This window comes from Homo sapiens, chromosome 3, assembly GCF_000001405.40.
Source record: "Homo sapiens chromosome 3, GRCh38.p14 Primary Assembly".
Classification (NCBI taxonomy): Eukaryota; Metazoa; Chordata; class Mammalia; order Primates; family Hominidae; genus Homo; species Homo sapiens.
The window spans coordinates 186,783,215-186,808,701 of record NC_000003.12 but is presented as its reverse complement, the minus strand read 5'-3'; the positions used below and the strand labels follow the sequence as shown (position 1 = coordinate 186,808,701).

General features: G+C 41.1%; 2 protein-coding genes and 6 non-coding genes across 9 annotated transcripts, besides 3 other annotated features; 1 reads left to right on the top strand and 7 right to left on the bottom strand.

The window, feature by feature from the left end:
* Positions 1,441 to 2,052: an enhancer, noted in NCBI's record as "NANOG-H3K27ac-H3K4me1 hESC enhancer chr3:186524439-186525050 (GRCh37/hg19 assembly coordinates)". NCBI's record gives its function as "activates a minimal SCP1, AML or CMV promoter by ChIP-STARR-seq in primed H9 embryonic stem cells {active_cell/tissue: H9 hESC(primed)}" and the evidence as "EXISTENCE:reporter gene assay evidence [ECO:0000049][PMID:30033119]".
* Positions 2,053 to 2,664: an enhancer, noted in NCBI's record as "NANOG-H3K27ac-H3K4me1 hESC enhancer chr3:186523827-186524438 (GRCh37/hg19 assembly coordinates)". NCBI's record gives its function as "activates a minimal SCP1, AML or CMV promoter by ChIP-STARR-seq in primed H9 embryonic stem cells {active_cell/tissue: H9 hESC(primed)}" and the evidence as "EXISTENCE:reporter gene assay evidence [ECO:0000049][PMID:30033119]".
* Positions 2,220 to 18,802, top strand: RFC4 (replication factor C subunit 4). Of its 2 annotated transcripts, none has more exons than NM_181573.3 (11): positions 2,220 to 2,277; positions 3,978 to 4,119; positions 7,507 to 7,585; positions 11,088 to 11,167; positions 13,925 to 14,044; positions 15,755 to 15,898; positions 16,092 to 16,212; positions 16,852 to 16,977; positions 18,296 to 18,376; positions 18,447 to 18,560; positions 18,638 to 18,802. In NM_181573.3, exons 2-11 carry the CDS (start codon positions 3,989 to 3,991, stop codon positions 18,731 to 18,733), a joined length of 1,092 nt encoding a protein of 363 aa, NP_853551.1. In that variant the 5' UTR covers positions 2,220 to 2,277; positions 3,978 to 3,988; the 3' UTR covers positions 18,734 to 18,802. The 2 variants fall into 2 exon arrangements, with proteins under 2 accessions (NP_853551.1, NP_002907.1); NM_002916.5 differs by having other exon boundaries at positions 2,220 to 2,412.
* Positions 18,803 to 18,804: 2 nt separating this feature from the next.
* On the bottom strand, positions 18,805 to 25,125 carry EIF4A2 (eukaryotic translation initiation factor 4A2). The gene is made up of 11 exons (NM_001967.4): positions 25,063 to 25,125; positions 24,225 to 24,270; positions 24,006 to 24,138; positions 23,601 to 23,740; positions 22,651 to 22,819; positions 22,429 to 22,538; positions 22,057 to 22,200; positions 21,438 to 21,575; positions 21,118 to 21,207; positions 20,820 to 20,899; positions 18,805 to 19,577 (listed from the first exon to the last, which is right to left on the bottom strand). The coding sequence occupies exons 1-11, from the start codon at positions 25,089 to 25,091 to the stop codon at positions 19,433 to 19,435; spliced, it is 1,224 nt and encodes a 407-aa protein (NP_001958.2). The 5' UTR covers positions 25,092 to 25,125; the 3' UTR covers positions 18,805 to 19,432.
* Positions 20,953 to 21,089, bottom strand: SNORA4 (small nucleolar RNA, H/ACA box 4). Its single transcript, NR_002588.1, has one exon. It is a non-coding gene; the product is annotated as a small nucleolar RNA, H/ACA box 4 (small nucleolar RNA).
* SNORA63 (small nucleolar RNA, H/ACA box 63) lies at positions 21,269 to 21,403 on the bottom strand. The gene has a single exon (NR_002586.1). It is a non-coding gene; the product is annotated as a small nucleolar RNA, H/ACA box 63 (small nucleolar RNA).
* SNORA81 (small nucleolar RNA, H/ACA box 81) lies at positions 21,850 to 22,026 on the bottom strand. The gene has a single exon (NR_002989.2). It is a non-coding gene; the product is annotated as a small nucleolar RNA, H/ACA box 81 (small nucleolar RNA).
* On the bottom strand, positions 21,925 to 22,030 carry MIR1248 (microRNA 1248). Its single transcript, NR_031650.1, has one exon. It is a non-coding gene; the product is annotated as a microRNA 1248 (primary transcript).
* Positions 22,255 to 22,379, bottom strand: SNORA63B (small nucleolar RNA, H/ACA box 63B). The gene has a single exon (NR_145766.1). It is a non-coding gene; the product is annotated as a small nucleolar RNA, H/ACA box 63B (small nucleolar RNA).
* Positions 23,837 to 23,906, bottom strand: SNORD2 (small nucleolar RNA, C/D box 2). The gene has a single exon (NR_002587.1). It is a non-coding gene; the product is annotated as a small nucleolar RNA, C/D box 2 (small nucleolar RNA).
* Positions 24,220 to 24,449: an enhancer, noted in NCBI's record as "active region_20943". NCBI's record gives its function as "activates an Ori minimal core promoter by ATAC-STARR-seq in GM12878 lymphoblastoid cells {active_cell/tissue: GM12878}" and the evidence as "EXISTENCE:reporter gene assay evidence [ECO:0000049][PMID:35858748]".
* Positions 25,126 to 25,487: the final 362 nt, after the last annotated feature.

Genomic DNA, 25,487 nt, shown 5'->3' with positions numbered 1-25,487 from the left:
TAAAATCAATTGCCAAAACAAGATACCACTCAGGTCTCTCTTTTCTATTTAACATTAAGGCACCTCTATGCCAGCCCTGAACCTGCCCAGTGACTGATCACAAGCTTTGAGTCTGGAGTCAGTCCAAGATGTGGATTATGGCTTTGCCACTTACTTGCTATTAACCTTTGTTGTAGTCTGAATGTTTGTCCCCACACCCCCAAATTATAGTTATTGAAATTATAACTCCCAAGGTGATGGTATCAGGAGGTGGGGCCTTTGGGAGGTGACTGGTTCAATAGAGTGGAACCCTCATGAATGGGAGAAATGCCTTCATAAAGGAGATGGCTGGAGAAAACTAGTTAGCCCTTTCCACCAAGTGAGGTTACAGCAGTAAGACAGCTGTCAATGAGGGAGTGAACCCTCACCAGCCACTGAATCTTATGGTGCCTTGATCTTGGACTTCCCAGCCACTAAAACTGTGAGAAATAAATTTATGATGTTTATAAGCCACCCAATCTATGGCTTATAAACATAGCAGCCAAAATGGACAAAGACCACTTATCCATCAGCTTGTCTGTTTTTTTGTTTGTTTGTTTTTGAGACGGAGTCTCGCTCTGTCACCAGGCTGGAATGCAATGGCGTGATCTCAGCTCACTGCAACCTCCACCTACCGTGTTCAAGCGATTCTCCTGCCTCAGCCTCCCAAGTAGGTGGGATTACAGGCACCTGCCATCATACCTGGCTAATTTTTGTATTTTTGTAGAGATGGAGTTTAACCATGTTGGCCAGGCTGGTCTTGAACTCCCGACCTCAGGTGATCCGCCCACCTCGGCCTCCCAAAGTGCTGTGATTACAGGCATGAGCCACCGTGCCCAGCCCAACTTGTCTGTTAAATGAGATCATAACATCCCCCTCTCTGTGGTTGTGCTGTTCCTTCAGGTAGCAAATGGATACCATCTATTTTCATAGATCTTGTTTTATCAACTGTATTGTGGTATAATTTACATACAATAAAATATACAAGCATTAAGTATACAGTTTGATAAGTTATGGTAATGTAAACCGGTGACCAGATAGATAACCTGTGTGTTTTTTATACTGTCCAGAGATTGTATCAGACTCTGTGGAAATTACAAAGTAGCATAAAGCATCCTTACTTTGGTTAAACCCTTGATTGGGTTAGGCCTGGGATGTAAGTTCTCACAGCCCCCTACTTCCTCTGCATAACCACACATCACATTGTCTGTCACTCTCCTAGTCTGTAAAGCTACTTGAGGGCATCTCGAGCGTTTTCCCTGCTGTATCTGCAGGCATCTAACACAGTGCGTGGACATTCTGTAAGCATTTGTTGCAAGATAAATGAAAAAAACGTACAAAGTTAACAATGGATATCATGCTGAGTTTGTGCCAAACAAAACAGTCATTTGAAGAAGACCCGGAACAACCTTATGGGTTAGTAATTAGTAAAGACCAGTAGAGAAGGTGGCCTTTGAGAAGGGTCAGGTTTCAATAGGATTAAGGAGCATTTCAGAGCTAAACCAAGTACTTGGAAGAGATAAAAGCAGTGGGCTCAGGCACCAGCCTAGCCCACTGTGCATGAAGCTTGGTGGGGCTAAACATGATTATCAGTCCTTTAACTTTTATTGAACGCCTTCACTTCCAGATTTCTAAGTGGGGCTCAGGAATTATAATAGATGTCCACAGCTGCATGGTCTTCTCTCTCCACAACACGCAGACACTATTAGAAGTAAAAGCCACGTGTCCTCAAGAGGGCAAGGCAAAGCATCTTCAGATGTCTCTGCCCTTAAAGCACACGCGTTCTGCTCTGCGACGAAGCAGGACAAGGAGGACAGGGACCTGCACCTCCGGAGGCCCGCACCTACGAAGATAGCGGGCTCGGGACCTTCGGTGGACCGGCAGGGTTCCAGAGGCCCGCGCGCCGCCGCCCCGCCCTCATTGCTGAGCCTGCCAGGTAAGCAGCCCCAGCGCCGTGCCCGCGCGACCTCTACTCCTTCCGGGAGGGTCGCGCTCACGTCTGAAGTGGGAGCAATGCACCGGGACAGGGACACCTCCTAGGCCATGCCTGTTCCAGTCCAGTTCTGCCTGAAAGTCCGGCTGGCTCATCACCTGCCTAAATAAAACCGTATACGGGCAAACTCCCTCCGCAAGCAGCGCGCCCCAGCACCGGAAGTGACGCGTTACGTGCCCGCGTATTCCTACCGGCGTATTCCCGCCCTGCTTTTCGCCCGCCGTTCCGTGGCGGGAACTGAGGCGACTGTGGGGACATCAGTGATCGTAAGTCTCCTGGGCCCGTTATTCTCAGATTAGGTGACGGAGCTAAGACTTCGAGACCATCTCGTCCTTTTTGTATCGCGGAAACCTGAGGAACGAGCCGGCGGCGGTGACCTGCACGAGAAGCCAGGCTAACTGGTAACCTGCTGGAGGAACTGCAAGCCCGCTTCGCCTTCCCCACTCCTGCCCTTGATGCCCCTTGTGAGGTCTTCCACCTCCTTCGGGGCCCCAGCCTAGTGGCCCTTTCATGCCCTGGCCGCGCCCTTTGGTGAAATGGTGGTTCCGGACAGCATCTTGCAGGCCCCGGCTTTGGGCTGTATTAATGTTTAACAGCCCGAGGCAGGGATGGACTAATCCAGTAACGTTATAAAAACCTTGGCTGCTAACAGATATTAAAAATTTATTTTATTGAGCATATCCCCATATGCCAAGCAAGGAACTATGTATTTGCATACATTCTTTTATTTAACTCAGTTGTCCTGTGGAATAGGCCTTAGCTCCTTTAACAGAAAAGGAAACCGGGTATCATAGATGGTAATTCATTCACCAAATATTACGGAGCATCTACCATGTACCAGGCACTGTTCTAGGCACCAGGGCATGTAGCAGTGAAAAAAATAGAATTAACCGGGGACTTTTCAGGCGAGCTAATGATGCTTTTTATCCCTGAAAACAGCCTGGAAGAATGTTTACCTGCATGTTAGAAATAGTTACCTTCTGGGTGGGATTTTGTATTACTTTTTTAAATCTCTCATGCTTTTATGCATTGTTTTGATTTCTTCAAGTGAGTGTGTTATGAGAAAAACAGCTGTTTCTATTTTAACAACAGAGTCCCCCACCTTCCCTTCCCCACAGAAAGTCTCTGAAGGTAGGTAAGCATTGACTCTGCCATGAAAATAGGTCCCTGGCCAGGCGAGATGGCTCACACCTGTAATCCCAGCACTTTGGGAGGCCGGGGCAGGAGGATTACTTGAGCCCAGGAGTTCCAGACCAGCCTAGGCAACATGGTGAAACCCTGTCTCTACCAAAAATTTAAAAAATTAGCCGGGGGTGGTGGCACGCACCTGTAGTCCTAGCTACTGGGGAGGCTGAAGTGGGAAGATGACAGGAGCCTGGGATGTCAAGGCTGCAGTGAACCATGATTCCGCCACTGCACTCCATCCTAGGCAAAAGAGTGAGACCCTGTCTCAAAAACAACAACAACAAAAAAAGGTCTTTGAGTTCTGACCCAAGGAAAGGAGTGAAGGTTCTCATTTGTGGTGCAAGCAGAGCACCTTTAATTGCCGAAGAGTCCATTTCAGGGTCTGAGCTAGAGCTAGGCCCATGACTGTGAAAGAAACCATGGAGGCCCATGTGGTTTGGTCATTAGCAACATCATATTTATCAATGCATTTGGAACTCATTAAACATTTTTGTGACATATGATCTTTGTTCTATAACTCCTGCACTAGAAATAGATTCTAAGTTCGTTAGGGACTTTGACCACTTTTCTGTTCTTGTAGCCCTCAGTACAGTGCATTCAGAGTGTCCTAGGTCATGGGGTGATGTCCTTTATTATGTAACATCTTTGCACAAGGCTAAGTTTATTTTCGGGCTGTACTTTCTCATAATGGTTCCCCACCACCACCCCCGCTTTCCTATGGTGCTGATTCGCAATAAAAGTTTCAATAAAAGCTTTTTTTTTCTGTCTTGCACCTGACCAGGGTGAAGTACCATGCAAGCATTTCTTAAAGGTACATCCATCAGTACTAAACCCCCGCTGACCAAGGATCGAGGAGTAGCTGCCAGTGCGGGAAGTAGCGGAGAGAACAAGAAAGCCAAACCCGTTCCCTGGGTGGAAAAATAGTAAGAACACTTGTGTCTTTGTTAAAATAATTCATAAATTATCTCTCTAACCAGTACTGATCACTTTTTTTTTTTTTTAACTTATGGAGGAATGCTTTGTTCTGTTTAGAAGTTGTCTTTGAAAAAAAATCACCCACTTATATAAGTCATAGAACCCTGGAACTAAAGTTACCTGAGAATAATCTAGTTTAACTCCCTTATTTTGTAGATAAACTGAGATCTCTACAAGCAGAGGCTTCCATTTTAGGGGCTGGGATACAGAAGTGAAGAAAACAAAAGTTTCTGTAAACTGGCTATAAATACTAGGTCAGGAGTTCTACTTAAATCCAAATATGTAATCTGTTCCTCCTTCTTCTCATTACAATAGGTGGAAAGTATTATTATTATTATTACTATTTTTGAGACGGAGTCTCACTCTGTTGCCCAGGCTGGCGTGCAGTGGCATGGTCTCGACTCACTGCAACCTCCACCTCCTGGGTTCAGGTGATTATCCTGCCTCAGCCTCCCAAATAGTAGGGATTACAGGTGCCCACCACCACACCTGGCTAATTTTTTGTATTTTTAGTAGAGACGGGGTTTCACCATGTTGGTCAGGTCGATCGCAAACTCCTGACCTCAAGTGATCCACCTGCCTTGGCTTCCCAAAGTGCTGGGATTACATGCATGAGCCACCGCGCCCAGCCCTGGAAATTCAGTTTTGGTTAGCTCATACATTTTTGTCCAAACAACACTTGAATTAGCATTTAAATTGTCAGTCACCACCTGGCATGGTGGCTCATGCCTATAATCCTGTATGTAATCCCAGCAATTTGGGAGGCCAAGGTGGGAGGATCACTTGAGGCCAGGAGTTCCAGACCAGCCTGGCCAACATGTCGAAACCCCCTCTTTACTGGGAAAAAAAAAAAAAAAAAATTAGCCAGGCATGTTGGCGGGCACCTGTAATCCCAGCTACTTGGGAGGCTGAGGCACGAGAATCACTTGAACCTGGGAGGCAGAAATTGCAGTGAGCTGAGATCACACCACTGCATTCCAGCCTGGGTGACAGAACGAGACTCTGTCTCAAATAAATAAATAAAATTGTCAGTCATCTAAGTGATATTACCACAAGTAATTGTAACTATTGGTTGAATGTAGCCTCGGTAATTACCAATGTTTACAGATTACTTATAGGCCGAGTAAGGCCCTCATATGTTTTTTGTGTTTTTGTTTTTTGCTTGCCTTTTTGTTTGTTTGTTTTTTTGGGACAGATTCTCACTTTGTCACCCAGGCTGGAGTGCAGTGGCGCAATGTCAGCTCACTGCAACCTCTGCCTCCCAGGTTCAAGTGATTCTCCTGCCTCAGCCTCCCGAGTAGCTGGGATTACAGACATGCCCCACCACACTCAGCTAATTTTTGTATTTTTAATAGAGACAAGGTTTCATCGTGTTGACCAGGCTGGTCTTCAACTCCTGATCTCAGGTGATCTGCCTGCCTTGGCCTCCCAAAGTGCTGGGATTACAGGCGTGAGTCACTGCGCCCAGCCCCTTATATGTTTTGTTTGGCACCAATAAACCTCATGAAAATCTAGATTTTTTTAATTATGTGGAGGAGGGTCTGGATTTTCAGCTTCTCAGGAGATCAGGCAACACTGGGGGCAGGTTCTCACATGACAGGAGTTATATGGACTTGTGTACTGCTTCTCCTTTTGGAAAGGTCGTGTGTTCCTCAATTTGCCATGGTCCCTACTATATCTTGCATCACACTCTGCCTTCCTCACTCTTGTTATCTGCTTAATCTCTGCAGGTATTTGAATATGAGTCCCTGCTTTATAACATATACTGGATTCCCAAGAGAAGACATTAAAAAAAAAAATCATAATTCCTACCTAGTGTTAACCTGATTTATCGAAAAGTATGGATCAAAGAACTTTTGATTAGTTAACTAAGCACAAAGCCTAAGCTTAGAGTTGGAAGTGTAACTTTGTTCTAGCTTCTCTTAAAAATCACTGTTGTAAGATGAAAATTATATATGATACTTCATATTGGTTCAGCTTGTTGTTTTTGTTAGCCCTCAATGAATTGAATAGGTCTTCATTTTTTTATGCAGTTAGATGATGGAAAAAATTGGCATTAACCAGTTAACACATACTAAGTATATATGTAACTACATTAACCAAAATAGTTACCTATACTAAGGTTACTAAATGGTTTTCCCTTTTCATCTTAAGATTCATGATCTTATTTTGTCAAAGTGGAACAATGCTTTTTTTTTTTCTTTTGAGACAGAGTCTTGCTCTGTCGCCCAGGCTGAAGTGCAGTGGTGCGATCTTGGCTCACTGCAACTTCTGCCTCCTGGGTTCAAATGGGACTACAGGCATGTGCCACCACGCCCACCTAATTTTTTTTGTATTTTTAATACAGACGGGGTTTCACCATGTTGACCAGGCTGGTCTCAAACTCCTGATCTCAGGTGATCTGCCTCCCAAAGTGCTGGGATTACAGGCGTGAGCCACCGCATCCGGCCAATAATAATGCTTTCTAAGCAGGTGTTCACTTTAATTTTTTTTTTTTTTTTTTTTTTGAGATAAAGTTTCGCTCTTGTGACCCAGGTTGGAGTGCAATGATACGATCTCGGCTCACCACAACCTCTGCCTCCAGGGTTCAAGCGCTTCTCCTTCCTCAGCCTCCCGAGTAGCTGGCATTACAGGCATGCACCACCATGCCCGGCTAATTTTATATTTTTAGTAGAGACAGTGTTTCTCCGTGTTGGTCAGGCTGGTCTTGAACTCCTGACCTCAGGTGATCCACCTGCTTCAGCCTCCCTAAGTGTTGGGATTAGTGTGAGCCATCGCACCCAGCCCCACTTTAATTTCTTTTTTTTTTTTTTTTTTTTTGAGACAGAGTCTCCCTCTGTCACCCAGGCTGGAGTGCAGTGGTGCGATCTCAGCTCACTGCAAGCTCTGCCTCCCAGGTTCGTGCCGTTCTCCTGCCTCAGCCTCCCAAGTAGCTGGGACTACAGGCGCTCACCACCACGCCTGGCTAATTTTTTGTGTTTTTAGTAGAGACGGGGTTTCACTGTGTTAGCCAGGATGGTCTTAATCCCCCACTTTAATTTCTAATTAGTGTTTGTAGCATATAAAATAAAATCCTTTTTCTTTAATTTTTGTGGGTATAACAGATTCGAGCAATGCAGAAAGGAAGTAAAACATTATTTCACTCTTTCAGAATGTGTTTGGTTACGGTAAAAACAAGTGGGGTTTCCACCTATTTCCGATTATGAAAAAGTTTCTCATTTCATTGCTGATGTTTAAGAATGGTCATTGGTATTTTAGTAGAAGGAACACTTGAGAGTTTTCTGTGGCTACTATAATATACTAAATAACCTCTTTCCTCCTTCTCACCCCGCAAGTCGCCCAAAATGTGTGGATGAAGTTGCTTTCCAGGAAGAAGTGGTTGCAGTGCTGAAAAAATCTTTAGAAGGAGCAGATGTGAGTTGCAAATGGTGTTTAATGTCATTGGGATATTTAAGACTTAATTTATTCACCCTCTTTCTTCCTTTATAACTTCTAGCCCTCGTTAAATATCTTGCTCTGTGTACAGTAGGTCCTTGATAACTATTTGTACAATGATAATTAGTTCAAATATTTATTGAGCATCTCCTATTTAATCTTACATAGCAGTGTTACCTAGTATTCAAGTAAAAGTCATAGTAATTAAGACAAACTATGAAACATAGACATAGAACAAGACATAAAACATAGAACAAGACAAACTATGCCCCTTTTTTCATGGGTTTTTATTGGTAAGGAAAGATAGAATAAACAAGTAAACCAATAAATAATTATAGGTAGTAATATGTGCTATAAAGAAGAGCCAGAGATTCCTCTAAAGTATAATTGCTTACTAACTTTAGGATTTGGATTGACCTATAATACAAAAAAAAAATCGAGCTTTGAATTCTGCTTATAGCTCTCTCTTCTGCTGTGATCTGGGGGATAAAGTATCCATGGATAACTTGCATTGTAAATTATTCTGAGATAAGATAAACCCATGTGAAAAATTAGCAACTTAAAGTTGTGTTATGATGAATGCCCAAAGTGCTTTAACAGCTCAGTAAAGTGCTGAAGTGGGATGTGGTTTTTGCTTTAGTTTCAAGATTTGCTTCCTTCCTCTCAATCTGGCTGCTTTTAATTAGAAGTTCTTTTGGGTTTTGCTGCCATCATTCCCTTGCTGAAATTATATTACTACAGTACACATTTTGAAAGAAGTTAAATTTATAAAACTATTTAGAATCTTTTTCTTTACCAGTATGTGTTTTGATTTGACTCGCATACTCTTATACCTTTTTGGCCGGCCACAGTGGCTCACGCCTGTAATCCTAGCGTTTCGGGAGGCTGAGATGGGAAGATCACTTGAGGTCAGGAGTTCAAGACCAGCCTGGCCAACATGGTGAAACCCCATCTCTACCAAAAATTAGAAAAAGTAGCCAGGCGTGGTGGCACACACCTGTAGTCCCAGCTACTCAGGAGGCTAAAGCGGGAGAATCATTTGAACCTGGGAGGCGGAGGGGTTGCAGTGAGCCAAGATTGTGCCACTGTACTCCAGCCTGGGTGACAGAGTGAGACTCTGGTCTCAAAAATAAATAAATAAATAAGTAATAAAAAATAAATAACACAAATACTCTTATACCTTTTAATTTTATAATAGTATAGCATTTTATTTTTTGGTATATTCTGCTTGCATATCTTGGTAACAGTATATACCATTTTAATTGCAGTTGCATAGTAATTACACAGATTGCAGGACAATATCTAATTTAATTACTAGTATCTTCAGCAAATGTAGTGAGATTAAGATCCAGTTCTTTTGTTTTTTTGTTTTTTTTTGTAATTGAGACAGAGTCTTGCTCTGTCACGCAGGCTGGAGTGCAGTGGCGTGATACCAGCTCACTGCAACCTCCGCCTCCCAGGCTCAAGTGATCCTCCCACCTCAGCCTCCCAAGTAGCTGGGACTACAGGCATGCACCACCACACACAGCTCATTTTTGTATTTTTAGTAGAGATGGTGTTTAGCCATGTCAAGTGACCTGCCCGCTTTGGCCACCTAAAATGCTGGGATTACAGGCATGAGCCATCATGCCCAGCCTAAGATCTAGTTCTTGACTTTATGCCACGTAATTTATGAGGCTGAAGTAAGAACTTCAGTTTAATATTTTGTGCACCTTTTCAGACTAAGTTTTGTAAAGAGGTGAAATAGTTTTTTTAATTCAAAAGAGTAAAGGAAAACAATTCATTCAATTTATTTTGAAAGGTTTTAAAGAATTATAAGAAGATAATTTTTTCAGAAATTGATTTTAAGAACTGGTATTCCACATACAGTTCTTGAATGTACTACATATATTAGACTAGTGTATAATTAAGGTTTAATAATTTTACCCTGTTTCAAAGAATTTAAATTATTGTATCTGATAGTTAACCTGGATGAATCGTTACATTGTTAAGGGATGCACAGATCAAAATAATAGTTGTAGACCTTAATTACTAAGAAGCCTGGGAGGTTTTTAAGTTATGAATCTCATAGTTTGTTCTGTAAGCTATATGTTATGAATGTAACAGTAATAGTCTTCTAATTAACATATTTGTCTATGTATTGGTTTATTCATTCATTTGGCCAACATTGACTACTGTAGTAGATGCTAGAATACAGATGTGAATAGAACAAATAAGGTTCTTGGTCTTTTAATGAAGTAGACAGGCATTTTACAATTAAGCCCCACAGTGAAATAACAATAAACCAATGCAAAATGCAACAAACACTAATGAGAGAATAGGAGAGGAGACCTACTTTAGACTGAATGGTTTCTGATTTGTAATGCATTAGGAGTTGGCCAGGCAGAAAGAAGAGGATCAGACTCCAGGTCATGGGAGCAACATATGTTCGGGCCAGAAAGTGCCAAGCTGTTAGAAGCCATTGTAAGCTAGAGCCTGGAAGGTGAAGGAGGTGGTAGGCAGATCATGGAAGTCCTTTAGGCCATGGTAAAAAGCTGAGGGTTTTTTGGTTTGTTTTTGTTTTTCTAAGTGGAATAGTTTTAAGTAGCAAGCAGAGTGGTATCTGATTTAGGTGAAGAATGAATGGACAGGAAGAGGGAGGGTTAGGCAAGAGTGGAAACAAACTCTAATGCCTAGTTTCCTGTGTACACTGATTTCCTTATGTGACAGGACATACTGAAGATTGCACAGTATCATAACAGAGCTCATTAGAATTTAGTTGACTTATTAATTTTCACCACGGATCAGTCGACTGCTTGATAGGAGCCAAACTAGCTAGATACAAGGTATAAAAGAAGGTAGCTAGTGATTTAATTTTATCCTTTCCTCTTCTAATGAATTCTCCCTGATACATGCAAGCATCCTTACAGAGTGCATAATCATGATGTGGAGCAGTGCCTAGTACTTAATATATATCTAGTTTTGGATTTTTTGTTAATATTTCTGTTCTTGGTACTTCTGCTCATCCAAAGCCCTAATTATGTCTTTTTTAGTCCTTTTTCCTCAGTTTTGGCCAAATCCCATTACTCTTTTGGTCTGCTTCCCCTTTGAAGCAGCTGACATTTTGTGTAATATAAAATCTTACCTAATCTTGAGCATAGAGGTGGGATAGGAAACTGAGATTCCCTTTAGAAATAAAAGGTTTCTCATTCCAGCTTTGAAAATTTCACCTAAGTGGATTAGCTATAGAGCAAGCATAAATATTGGTTCAGCTTAAGAGATTAAAAAGACACTTGGGGAAAAAAGTGGTAGTATATGAAAAAGCAGGATTTAAATCTGTCAGTACTATGATATCAGTTATATTAAGAAAACTTTATACTTAGAAATTACGTGCCCTATTAGAGAAGTCATTGCACTATTCCACAGACATTTTTTTCGATCTTCCTTTTCATCTATTTGTGCCAGAATACCATTTATTAAAAATAAAATTTAATTTCTACAGCTTCCTAATCTCTTGTTTTACGGACCACCTGGAACTGGAAAAACATCCACTATTTTGGCAGCAGCTAGAGAACTCTTTGGGTACGTTGAAATCAGTCTGTTTTTCTTTTTTTAAAGATTTGACACCAAAATTCTCTGATATTGCTTTTTTTCCTCTAAAAATTTGCGTTTCGTTTTCTGTAGGATAGTTTTCTATTTCTGATTTTTAAAAATCCCATGAGCCATTTTGTTCCTCCCTCACTCCCCTGAAGAAATCAGCTTGCCTGCGTCTTTTGTGACCTTCATTGTGAATCTTGTTCAAGTGTGGGGAGCCTATGATTTTTTCCATCACTTTCTTTAAATTTTCCATTATAACTTTGGAGTCCAGAGGGCCCAACTTAATGTCCAGTTGTGCTGATAGTTTTATCACCCTCTTAATGATTGTGTTCACATCTGTGTGGCTACATGATAGAATCTGCTGTTTCTGATGGCACTATTTGCACCATCCATTCTTGAGTCCTGCTCTGGACTTCCTAGGCTCTGACTCTGGAGTGGCCAGTCCAGCTCCTTGCCTCAGGTCTCCTGAGCACAAGTGATGGTTGATGTAGTGTGATTCCAGGTACACCAGAAAATCTTCCTGTGAGTCACCTTCTTATGTTCCTCTTCCTAGATTGACCATCTTGGCTTAACCAGCCATTCTAGAGGAGCCCTTTACCTAGAGTTAAAAGATGTGTAGTGGGCTGGGTCTGATATACATGAAACATGCACCAACATAACAAAGGCTGTTTTGAGTTTATCCAGAATTAATATCAGACATACAACTGATAGAAATATCTGAAATCCTACATATGAAAATAGGCTGGGTGTGGTGGCTCACATCTGTAATCCCAGCACTTTGGGAGGCCGAGGCAGGTGGATCACCTGGGGTGAGGAGTTCGAAACCAGCCTGGCCAACATGGTGAAACCCCATCTCTACTAAAAATACAAAAATTTGCCAGGCATGGTGGCATGCACCTGTAGTCCCAGCTACTCGGCAGGCTGAGGCAGGAGAATCACTTGAACCTGGGAGGCAGAGGTTGCAGTGAGCCGAGATCACGCCACTGCACTCCAGCCTGGGTGACAGAGCGAGACTCCGTCTCAAAAAAAAAAAGACGCCACTGAAATCACCAAATGTGTAAGGATTATTAGTTATGTCAAAATGTAAAAGACAAAGGGAGAAGCTGCTATGTGCCTAATATTTTATTTGACAGCAATTTTTTATTCTCAGTAAAATTATAGAAGAACTTTTTTGATTATTCCACAACTCAATCAGATAGAACCAATCTGAATCAGCCTTAACAGTTGTTTATTATTACTTAGAGTAGGTCAGTCCAGATTATACAACTTTTTCTATATCCTTTATGAAATAATGTTTGTCTTTAAAGAACTTACTTTAACAGTGAATTTCATATTTAATATTGTGGCTTTAAAATAGAAAATAGATGCATGTAAATGTTTATGTCCATAAACATGCTTAGGATACCATGCTGATTAGGAAAAATAGAGATGAAACTAAATCACAACTCTTGTTTTTTATTTAAATGTGTGTGTGTGTGTGTGTGTGTGTGTGTAAAAGACTAGAGGGAAGTTTCAAAAACAGTGCTTTGACAGTGTGCCCACTTTTTTCTTTTGATTTCTCAAATTTCTCTACAGTAAGCATATATTACTTTTAGTAATTTTTATTAAAACTCACTTTAAAAACCTGCTCATGTTTTAATCCATTAATTTTCCTTAATCCAGTAGGTTTCCTTATAGCAAACTACCCTGTGGAATTTATTTATTTATTTGTTTATTTATTTATTTTTGAGACAGTGTCTCGCTCTATTGCCCAGGCTGGAGTGCAGTGGTGCGATCTCGGCTCACTGCAACCTCCACATCCCGGGTTCAAGCAATCCTCCTGCCTCAGCCTCCTGAGTAGCTGGCACTACAGGTGCCTGTAACCACGCCCAGCTAATTTTTGTATTTTTAGTAGAGACAGGGTTTCACCACGTTGGTCAGGCTGGTCTCGAACTCCTGACCTCGTGATCCACCCGCCTCGGCCTCCCAAAGTGCTGGGATTACAGGCATGAGCCACCACATCCGGCCGGAAATAATTTAAAATGTGCTATATTATAACATTATTTAAAATTACAGTATTTAAAACTATCTAGATGTCTAACAATAGAAGAATGTGAAGTAAATGATGGTACAGTCATAGGATGGAATATCATATGACTATTAAAATGTTATTTACAGTGGTTTTGATAATATGCCAAGATACTTATTATAAATGCAAAGTGGAAAATCGATTTAAAATTTTATATGTGGGGCCAGGTGTGGTGCCTCACACCTGTAATCCCAACATTTTGGGAGGCCAAGGTGGAAGGATCACCTGAGACCAGCCTGGCCACATAATGAGTCCCTGCCTCTACAAAAAGTAAACAAAATTAGCCAGGTGTGATGGCATGTGCCTATAGTCCCAGCTAGTTGGGAAGCTAAGGTGGGAGGATCATTTGAGCCCAGGAGTTCAAGGCTGCAGTGAGCCATCATCATGCCACTGTTCTCCAGCCTGAGTGACAGAGCAAGACCTTGTCTCCAAAAAAATAAAAAGAAAAGAAATTGTATATGTTATGTAATGTCTACATTTTTTTAAATGCATGGAAAAAAGCCAAAATGTTAACTGCAGCACTCTGCTGAAGCGAGAATGCAAAAGTGATTGTGTGCCTTCTATCCATGTTGTTTACTAGGTGGATTTTAAACGTCTGCAAAGTGTGCAAATGTTAAAATGTGATTTAAGCCTACTTGTGCTCTATGTTTCATATTTGTTTCATTTTGAGATAGGCCTGAACTTTTCCGATTAAGAGTTCTTGAGTTAAATGCATCTGATGAACGTGGAATACAAGTAGTTCGAGAGAAAGTGAAAAATTTTGCTCAATTAACTGTGTCAGGAAGTCGCTCAGAGTAAGTAAATTTGCCCTCCCTCCTCCATAGCATGTATTATTTTAAATATGTATTTCTGCCATCGCTCCTCAGCCTTTTGGCTAAGATCAAGTGTATTTCTGCCAAATTGTCAACTTTTCATGTTAGAAGACTATCCTGCCTGAGGTAAACAGGGATTTAATCAACTACTTATGCTCCTTAGGTGGCAAAGGTCCAGGATTACATTGGTGGTACCTAGACATATGTGTAAATTTTACATGAGCACATTTCAAAATTTGTGAAAGTGAATGACTAATTTTTGATATGCACCTTAAATTGATGGTGCAGTCAGTCACAACCGCTATAGCACCTAATGTATTTTTATGTGAAATGAAGACTGGGAGGTGGACTAAAAGACTCTGAGATCCCTTCTACCATTAATACTTGAAATCTGTTTTCTTGGTATAATTTTCATACAATTATGTTAATGCCACTTTTGGTGGGAGAAAAACTTTAATGGCAGATTACCAAAAATCAATGTACAGAAGGTAATAACCCGCAACGTGGGAGAAAATATTTACAAATCATATACCTAAAAAGGTACTTATATCTAGAACATATGAAGAACTTTAAAAACTCAGTAATAAAAACAAATAACCCAATTAAAAAATGGGCAAAGGCCGGGCGCAGTGGTTCACACCTGTAATCCCAGCACTTTGGGAGGCCGAGGCAGGTGGATCACAAGGTCAGGAGATCGAGACCATCCTGGCGAACATGGTGAAACCCCATCTCTACTAAAAATACAAAAAATTAGCTGGGTGTGGTGGCGGGCGCCTGTAGTCCCAGCTACTCGGGAGGCTGAGGCAGGAGTATGGCGTGAACCCAGGAGGCAGAGCTTGCAGTGAGCCAAGATCGCACCACTGCACTCCAGCCTGGGCGACAGAGCAAGACTCTATCTCAAAAAAAAAAAAAAGGCAAAGGATCTGCATAGACATTTCGTGCATGTGTAATAAGCACATTAAAAGATGCTCATCAACATCATTATCCATTTGGGAAATGAAAATCAAAGCCACATTGAAATACCACGTAACTCCCACTAGGATGGCTATGATAAAAAATACAGAAAATAACTAGCATTGACAAGGATGTGGAGAAATGGTAAACCGCATACATTGCTGGTTGGAATGTAAAATGGTACAGCCTCTTGGAAGACATGTCTGCTCAAAAACATGTACACAAATGTTCACAGCAGCATTATTCTTAATAGCCAAAACATGGAAACAGCCCAAATGTCCAACCGATTAATGGATGAATAAATGTGGTGTATCTATTTGCCATAGTATTTGACAATACAAAGGAATGACGCAAACACATGCTACAATATGGATGAACCTTTAAAATATGTTAAGTGGAAGAAGTCAGCCACAAAAGACTGCATATTATATGTTCCATTCATATCATGTCCAGAATAGGCAAATCTATAGAGATGAAAGTAGACTAATGATTGCCTAGAGCTGGGAATGACTGGGGGAAGAAGAGTGACTCCTAATAGGTACAAAGTTTCTTTTAGGAGTGATAAAAATGTTCTAAAATTAGATTGTGGTAATGGTTGCACAACTTTGTGAACATACAGAAAAACACTGAATTGTACATTTTAAATGGGTGAATTGTATGGTACGTGTATCTTTCAACAAAGCTGTTAAAACCAATATACATATTAATGTTCAACTCTTATGTGTTTCTCTGAATCAGTGGGAAGCCGTGTCCGCCTTTTAAGATTGTGATTCTGGATGAAGCAGATTCTATGACCTCAGCTGCTCAGGCAGCTTTAAGACGTACCATGGAGAAGGAGTCGAAAACCACCCGATTCTGTCTTATCTGTAACTATGTCAGTCGGTATGTATATTGCCCTGAAGACAGATGCTAGGCAGCCTTATTTTCATAACCCAATTAGGGAAAGGAAATTTAGGATTTTCAAGGCTACATTAATTTTTCCTCCATCAAATCTTGATTTGTTCTTGATAAAAATGAGTTCTTTTGGGGAAATTCTTTCTTTAGACACCAACTTGGTTTTTCTCATCTTCCACAGAATAATTGAACCCCTGACCTCTAGATGTTCAAAATTCCGCTTCAAGCCTCTGTCAGATAAAATTCAACAGCAGCGATTACTAGACATTGCCAAGAAGGAAAATGTCAAAATTAGTGATGAGGTAATTACTAATTATTACAATTATTAGAGTTACTAATTCCTTTGATGAATGCATATAAAGAGGCCCTGAAAGATTTAAATGTGTGTTGCCTCAATCCTGATGCCAGTTCTTCAGACAAACTTAAGCTAAAGGGGCAACAATTGAAATGTGTAGGAATTACAAGGTTTAGCTTTTCTATTACTTTTTGAGTTAATTATCTTTTAATATATCAGAGACCCGAAACTGAGGTGGATTTCATACATATAATGCAAATTCTGCAACATAAATCTCTGCATGATGACAAGATTTTAGTCTTCTAGCTAATACTTCAGTACTTCCCTAAAATTGATAGAAACATAAGGCCCTTATTCATTATAACAGAATTTAACCATAATTTGAATTTGCTTTACGTGAGCAAGAAAATGGGATAAATATGGAACATTTTTTCATCTCTGCAAATTTATTTCAGAAGCAAGAGATCTCTATCCTTCCATTGTACCCGGCCCCTAGACTGATCATATTTTCTCCCAAAACAGAAATGTTTTTTCTCATTAACTCTAGACTAAAACAGGGTTTTTCACTTTTATTAAACATTTTAAAATTAAAGTTATAAATCCTTAATTGGCCATCATAGGTTAAAAACAACTCTTTTCTCTTCAGGGAATAGCTTATCTTGTTAAAGTGTCAGAAGGAGACTTAAGAAAAGCCATTACATTTCTTCAAAGCGCTACTCGATTAACAGGTGGAAAGGAGATCACAGAGAAAGTGATTACAGACATTGCCGGGGTAAGAGTACTGGATATTCTGAATTTCTTTTTAGTTGGCTTTTTTGTGGCTTTTAGGAAATTTTCATCCAACAAATACTGGGTGTTTAGCAAGTGCCAAGTACTGCACTAGGAAGTATAAGGGAATAACCTGGGAGTATCAGAGTGTTTGAGGTGAGGAGATAGCACTGACTTTTCAGTTTGTCAGGCATGTAACAGACATTTCAGGAAAGAAAAGGACACTTTCAGTTGTTAGTTTTTTTGTTTTTTTTTTTTTGAGACAGAGTCTTGCTGTGTCGCCCAGGCTGGAGTGCAGTGACGCAATACCGACTCACTGCAACCTCCACCTCCCGCCTCACCCTCCCAATTAGCTGGGATTACAGGCACCTGCCACCATGCCCAGCTAATTTGTATATTTTTAGTAGAGACGGGGTTTCACGATGTTGGTTGACCAGGCTGGTATGGAACTCCTGACCTCAGGTGATCCGCCCCCCGCTTAGCCTTCCAAAGTGCTGGGATTATAGGTGGGAGCCACCGCACCCAGCCTTCAGTTTTTAGATTTTATAAGAGATGCCTTTGGCAGTTAAATCAATTTTAGCAGATGTTCTTATACATGAAAACTATTTTGCCAGTTGTATATAAACAAAAGGCATATCCAACTTACAGTAATCATTTATTAAAGAGAATGGAGTACCCCACTTGTCTTTGGATACTCCCATGTAAAAACTCACTTCAGAATCACTACTACTTAACAACTTTTGTTTCTGTGACATTTTTCACCTGCACGGTAGGCCTTCCATATGACAAGACTGGTACCACTAATCCTCTTTGTTTCTATGACGTTTTTCACCTTCACGGTAGGCCTTCCATATGACAAGACTGGTACCACTAATCCTCTTTAATTTTCTGGATATTGTGGACTTTTTAAACCAATCTCATTAGTGGCATCTTTACATGGAGACATTGAGAGAAAGGGCACTTCCCCTTTAAAGAAATCAGTCTTTTTGATTGATCTTGGCCACTGTTCTGAGGAATCGTTATAGCCGCTAGGGGAAAACTTAATCTTCATCCACTGACCAGAACAAGCTATAATCCATGTGTGCCCAAACTTGGAAGTTCACAAAGCCATTAAAGGGCTTTAAAAGCACAGTTGTTAGCACCTTGGTTGCTTAGTGGTGACTGGAGTTACTCTGGCCCTTTCCGTTCTCCCAAAGCCTTCCCAGGAAAGTATGGAACTTAGGTGTGGAACAGAAATGACTGGGGGCACGGGGGCCAGTTGGCAGAGTGTATGTCTAGTCTCACCTAGAAACATCTTTAATACCGAACATTCAATTACCTAGGTAATACCAGCTGAGAAAATTGATGGAGTATTTGCTGCCTGTCAGAGTGGCTCTTTTGACAAACTAGAAGCTGTGGTCAAGGTAAAGTCAGCTTACTAACTTTGGGGAAAGGAATATTAAGTCATCATACCAAAAGTTTTTTTTATTATAGGATTTAATAGATGAGGGTCATGCAGCAACTCAGCTCGTCAATCAACTCCATGATGTGGTTGTAGAAAATAACTTATCTGATAAACAGAAGTCTATTATCACAGAAAAACTTGCCGTAAGTAGGTACTTTGCACATGTCAATGGAACATTTAACTACCTGAAGGATGCTAATTTCTTAAATTTTTCTCGTAGGAAGTTGACAAATGCCTAGCAGATGGTGCTGATGAACATTTGCAACTCATCAGCCTTTGTGCAACTGTGATGCAGCAGTTATCTCAGAATTGTTAACGTGAATATATCTGGATGGGGGGTTTTGTAAATAATGAAGTTGTAATAAAAATAAAATGACCAAAAGCACCTTTAAAGTGAATATACAATTTATTTAACATTCAAACTTCATTAAGACATGTGCAATATGGCAATTTTACTGGGGATTAAACCCTACCTAGGATTGCTTGCTGGGGCTTAGCAACAGGGTCCAGTTCACACTTAGCACTAATTAAATACTTTATTGAATAAATACAATACCAAACAAAATGCATTCAAATGCTTTCTAAAAAAATTTTAAAGGCCTTTCTACTCAGGCTAATGACAAACACAATAAAGGCAGATATGCTAGTTTAACATAATTGGCTGATTTTATACAGCACTTATATCTTTTAGTCCACAAGTATATTATTAAATGATAGAGAACATCTAATACAACCATTTCTACAGAACTAGGAAATAAATTTCTAAGAAAGAAAGATTTTACAGACCCCATCTTTTATACCCACCCCAACAGTCTAACTCTAAAGAGGATAAAGCCAATGACTTTCCTCACAAGAGCTCACGACTAACGTCGCTTTGCTATCAAAATCTGTATTTCTGATCCGTTATGAGCATTGAGACAAGATTCAAATATTCCCAAAGAAAGAAGCACAATGCACGTTGTGATCGCCTATTCAGCAACAGCGAGCACTGCATCCAAAACTCTCATCCCAGGAATTAAATAAGGTCAGCCACATTCATGGGCATCTCCTCCACTGTAGTATTGTAGAAAGTCTCAATGTCACGAAGAATCCTCTTGTCTTCTTCAGTAACAAAGTTTATAGCCACACCTTTCCTCCCAAATCGACCCCCTCTGCCAATTCTGTGTAAGAAAAAGAATCAGAACGTTACTTCTCACATAATGTATAAACTACTGAACATGACGATCCACTTGTTAACCACCAGCTGCTGTTTACTTATCAAGGTTATAGTTCGTGCTTCTAACTGGAGCACTAGCTGCTAATGCATATCTAGAGAAAAAAATCTTCCTTTGCAGTTAGTGCCAAAAGGATTCAAGGCTTGTCTGGCTGCAAAATGAGATTTTTATCAGGCATCTTGAGCATTATTATAAAGCAGATGACAGTATCGTGTTTGGGGTAGTGAAATTAAAGCCCATACCAAAGTGGGCCAGCCAAGAGCAGGTGTCAGCCTGGGACAGATGTGAACACCAGGAATAAAAGAGCAGTTATGTAATCCATTTCGACGCACTTCTGGAACTGTAAACTGTAAACAAATGCTGCAAAGGTTAACTATTTTCTAAAACTTACTTTTTTCCAGTGGGAAAACAAATATTTGGTATGGTAACCCAAACTTATCACTGCTTTTTTGCTCAGTTTCACACGTTGTAACTCAAATTACTCTAAACGTGTTTAACTGCCAAACAGCTACCTGCATGTTAGAAACCAGACAATACAAACCACCTAATAAGAAAGGTTCCCTAATAGAAATACTAATACAAAAAAATGCCTTAGCTGGAGCAACTTAAAAATCAAATAATCATGACAAAAGAAAAACAAATATAAATACCGACTCGCTCTTTATTCAAACAGTGTGCTGTTTCGCTTATGATTCCACGTCCTAAATTACGTCAACGCCGTTTCTGAGTGCCATCTCGTCACCAACTGCTGCTATCGACTCCTGTATTTTTTAAAAAGTCTTTTTTTACATCATATAACAAAGTACAATTCAATTTATTTAGGGATAAAGCCACTATAACTAAACCAGGGTTCACTCAAATTGCTACCAGGCGACACCAAGAAAATCCCAACTATAGAAAAAATCACCAAGAAAAACACATGGACACAAGAACATCACTAAAAGCTCAAGCATAAGGTAAGACCAACAATTGTGGAAAAAAACCCTATGTCCACAATCTGGGCAATGTTTACAAGTTTTCCCACTTTGTTCTCATCAACCTTCCCTAGTACAAATTTAATTACATCATCTTACTGAACACTACTGACTTTACTGAATCTATTCCTTGATTTGATGTTACCTTTCATACAAATCACAGTAGAAAAACGTATGAATTTTTTTCAATACAGCCAAGATGCTGGCTTCTCACCTGTGAATATAGTTTTCACGATTGGTAGGTAGATCATAATTTATAACCAAAGACACTTGTTGCACATCAATCCCGCGAGCCTGAAACACAATGGCATGTTTTAAAAATTGATTCAAAAAAACTTGACACCTGTCATGTAGGCCACAAAATAGTAGCGAACTATACTAAGTGGTATAGCCCACTGTGGAGTGTGGTCTTTTACTCTTCCAAATAGCCCAAGTTGGCAAAGGTTACTTAAAAACCTGCCCCCCAAAAAGCTAACTTTTGGTAGATTTTTAAAAAGCATTAAGAGACTTACCAACAAGTCAGTAGTGATCAGAACACGACTTGACCCTGACCGGAATTCCCTCATGATAACATCTCTCTCCTTCTGGTCCATGTCACCATGCTGCAAATTAATAAACCTTAATTCAAGAATCACCAGTCAGGTCGGTATTTAATTTTAATCAACATGTATGAGACCAAGCGTCCCTGGCTGCTACAGGAGAATAGCAGACAGGTATAGTTAAGAAACAACTTTATTTTAAGCAGGGGGAACGACAACACAGCACTTAGCAGCTATATTGTAGTCTGAATCCTGCTTTAGTGGAAATCCAGACATTTTAGAACACCTCTTACCAGAGCAGAAACTGTGAAGTCTCTGGCATGCATCTTCTCAGTCAGCCAGTCCACCTTGCGCCTCGTATTGAGAAAAATAACAGCCTGTGTAATGGTCAGTGTCTCGTACAAGTCACAAAGTGTATCCAACTTCCATTCCTGTAATGTTTAGAAGTTAAAGTTAACAGTCATTTAGTTTTTCCAACTCTTCAGTTAAAAATTCATTCTGGGCCAGCCACAGTGCTAATGCCTGTAATCCCAGCCCTTTGGGATCCTAGCACTTAGAGCCCAGAGTTCCAACCAGACCAGGGTTTCAAGAAAGTGAAACTGTCTCTACCCAAAATACCAAAATTGGCCAGTCTTAGCCAGTCTCATAACCCAGTCTCAAAACGTAGAAATTATAAAAATTAACTTCATTCTGTTAGGTCTAATGAGATATTGCACCAAATCTTAAGACAAAGGACATTGGACATTAAGAAAGAGGTCCACCCCAGTCTTTACAATCTAGTGCTGTTACTTTTCTTCTTGTGTGTACTCTGCTAGCATTATTGCAAAAACCAAGACATGGTCCTAGTGTCTGCAATTTTAGCACAGTGCTTATACAAGAAGGTAAAATAATGTCTAACAATCAGACAGTTACCTCTCTCTCAACATTAATATAAAACTGTTTGATTCCTTCAAGGGTCAATTCTTCCTTTTTCACCAGAATTCGAATTGGATCTCTCATGAATTTTTTGGTCACTTCCAACACATCAGTTGGCATTGTGGCAGAAAGCAACACAACCTTAAAAAGAGAAAATTATGTTGTAGCACAACTTACACATTAATACCCAAAGGAAAATGTCTGAAGCCAAGCGTCTCTGTCTTACTACGGAATGAAGGTAGACAGAGTTATGCATCAAGTGCTTTAAGCAGGGGGAACGACAACAAAACACATCAGTTGTATTGTAACAGTACCTGCATTAAATAAACCCCATCTCTACCTTTAAGAGGGGGGTGAAGTAATGCTTACCTGAATACTTGTGTTTAGTTTTTGGAAAATCTCATAGATTTGATCCTTAAAACCACGGCTCAACATTTCATCTGCTTCATCCAAAACAAACATTTTGATCCATTTTGGAGCTGTTAGAAACAAAGTCATACTGTCATTTCTAGATCTACTCAGTGATACAATTTGACTTTTCAACTATGTTAACAGTTTTAAAAAAAATACTCTCTTAAAGACAATACTTACAAAGGTATCTTCTGTTTAACATATCAAACACTCTCCCGGGTGTACCAACAACAATATGTGGTGCTTCAGCCTGCAGTTTTTGCATTTCATTTCGAACATTTGTTCCACCAATGCAGGCATGACAAGTGGCTCCCATATAGTCTCCAAGTGCCAGAATTACCTTTTGGATCTAAAACCCAAGCCTTAATTATTATTCCGCAGAACTCCAGGATCAATGACTAATTTTTAAAGCATAAAGGCAAATATAATCTGGTCTGCCAACAGCTTTTATGCATGCACAGCACAAAACTACTTCCAAGCTTAAAATGCAGACGACCTAACTGCTGCAAGGTAAAATTCCCTTAATGTCTTTCTTATGCCTTGTCAAACTTGGGATGCTGCTGCTCCACGCATCAGCTAGACAATCCAAGAATAACGTTTCCTACATTATTCTTCACTGTAGGTAGGGAGTACGTAGTGAAATTTATGTTCTGTAATTACAGCTAGGGCAAATGATTTTTTTCCCCCAGAGGGTATTGTGCCTTATATAATCCTGACCTCAATAAAGCCTACAGCTTTATTAGGAAGGTTTACTTCAAAGCCAATATAGCAGTGAGCTTTGAAAACATAGCATGCAACAGATGCATCACGAACTACGGAGACAGTCAAATGGTAACATGTCACTGCAGTTTTCATGTTGCACAACTGCATTCAAACTTAAAAAATGGGGACAGATCTAGTACATCCAAGAGAGCGCTTCGGATTCTCAATCTATTAGTATACAACCCTACAAACCATACCTGCATACCCAGTTCTTTTAAAACTTTCAACAAAAACTCCCTGCATGCATGGACAATTAAAAGGAGGGATCTGGTAGGACCAATTTATACTAAGTTTTAAATTCTTCACAGTTGTGAAACCTGAAACCTATGCAACACGCAAGCAGTTTTTTTGAACTACACTATCAATACCTGTTGAGCCAGTTCTCTGGTGGGGGCCAATACTAGTGCTTGGGTCTCCTTGAACTCAATCTCCAACTGTTGCAGGATGGAAATAGCAAATGTGGCTGTCTTGCCAGTACCTGACTGAGCTTGAGCAATCACATCATACCCTAAAAAAAGTAGGATACACATTTACCGATCCCACATCAAATTGTCACTTCTACTTCACACCATGTATTCCATTTGGAACATTATGCCCAAATAATCAAGTGATCAGCAATGAGTATTCTCTTCATTTCAGGTCAGTCCCGAAAGATGATTGCCATCATTTCACTTTAAGGAATACAAACAGGTGCTAGTCCCCCAGAGGTTACTTTCCCTTTTATGGTTCATGTCTATGTAGAACAATTTCCTAAAAATGCCAGTTTCTTTTACCTTTAATACAGGGAATAATAGCTCTCTGCTGAATAGCGGAAGGCTTCTCAAAACCGTAAGCATAGATGCCACGAAGGAGAGACTCCTTTAAATTCATATCATCAAAGTTATCAACAATCTCATTCCAGTTGCTCTGTAAGTTAGAAAAAATAATGCACGCATAAATGAGATGAACACACTCACCTTTCCAAAGCTTCAAGATCCACAACCGTTTCTTACCTCGATGACACCATCGGGGTCCATTCCCTCTGGGCCGCCATGTTCTCTGCTGACAAGAATACTGCAGTCAGACACCCCTTCCAGGCCACCTCAACTGCACCTTAAGCGCATAGCCCTTTGCAACCCGTCTCAGCACGTTAGCCTCCCCTGCACAAGCTAAAGCAGCAGCCTCAGGGCGAATATCCACACTGTGCGCCTTCCCTAAAGGTTGGGGCCTGCGGATGCCCGGAAAGGCAGCCCCCCAGGCCCGAGCGCATGGCGATCCCGTTTCAACTGCGGAGCGTCTCGCGAGAGCTCGGAGCGCCGAACTCCGCCCCCAACAATGCGCAAGCCGGGTGATTGACGCGGGCGGAGCGGCCTGGCGAGGGCGATGCCAACGGTTCACCGGCACCGGTCCTGTCCCGTCGCCTCCGCGCCGTGGCCGAGTGGAGACCGCTGCCTCCAACCCTTCCCCAAGTAAAGCCTAGGACCCTCCCCCAACTCGTGTGGATGACCGAAAATAAAGCTTCGGGTCCTGGTTACAGTGTACCGAACTCGGACTGCGCCACGGCTTTTTACTCCATGTTTCCCGTGCTCTACACTGGGAAGGAAAGCAGCCGAAGTTTCGTAATGTCTTAGAGAGGAAAAACGCCCTTTAGCCACTGCTTTCGCACCACCGTCCTATCTCCCCACAATCCGGGCCCTACCCATCATGGAAGCTTCTGGAAGGGCACAGGAGTGCTGTACCCTAAGAAAACGTCCATTAATTTAGAGTTTTTGCCTCCGTGCCATCCACTATCATCTCCCCTGGCGCCCTATGACCTTCACTACAGACCGCGACCGCCAACAGACTGCATACCTGTTATAATCCGCGGAGCCACCAGACATGATCCGAAAAACCACTCAGCGCCCGACTGAAAAGACAGCGGCGCCCAACCACCCGTTTTTTATAGGCTCGTGGCCGGAACCCGTTTCTTGCGGAGGAATTTTCTCGCCGTGCTTCGGTCAGCTACAAAATTGTGATCCTGGGGTCGTTACCTCGGATAAAATCCTAAGCAAGTTGGTAGAAAAACCCAAATGTGGTAATTTCTCGATATTACAGGGTCGCTGGAAATCCTAGGGCCCGGGGTTGGGTTGGGACTCTTTACCTCGCGGCGGAAGAATATAGCTGCGGAGTTAGTTAAACCTCGCTTTCCCCGCCCGCCCTGCTCCTACGGGGTTTCCGCGTCCCTGACGCAGAGGCGGGCCGGGGGAGCCGCGCCGGAGCCGGAGGCGGAAACCGGA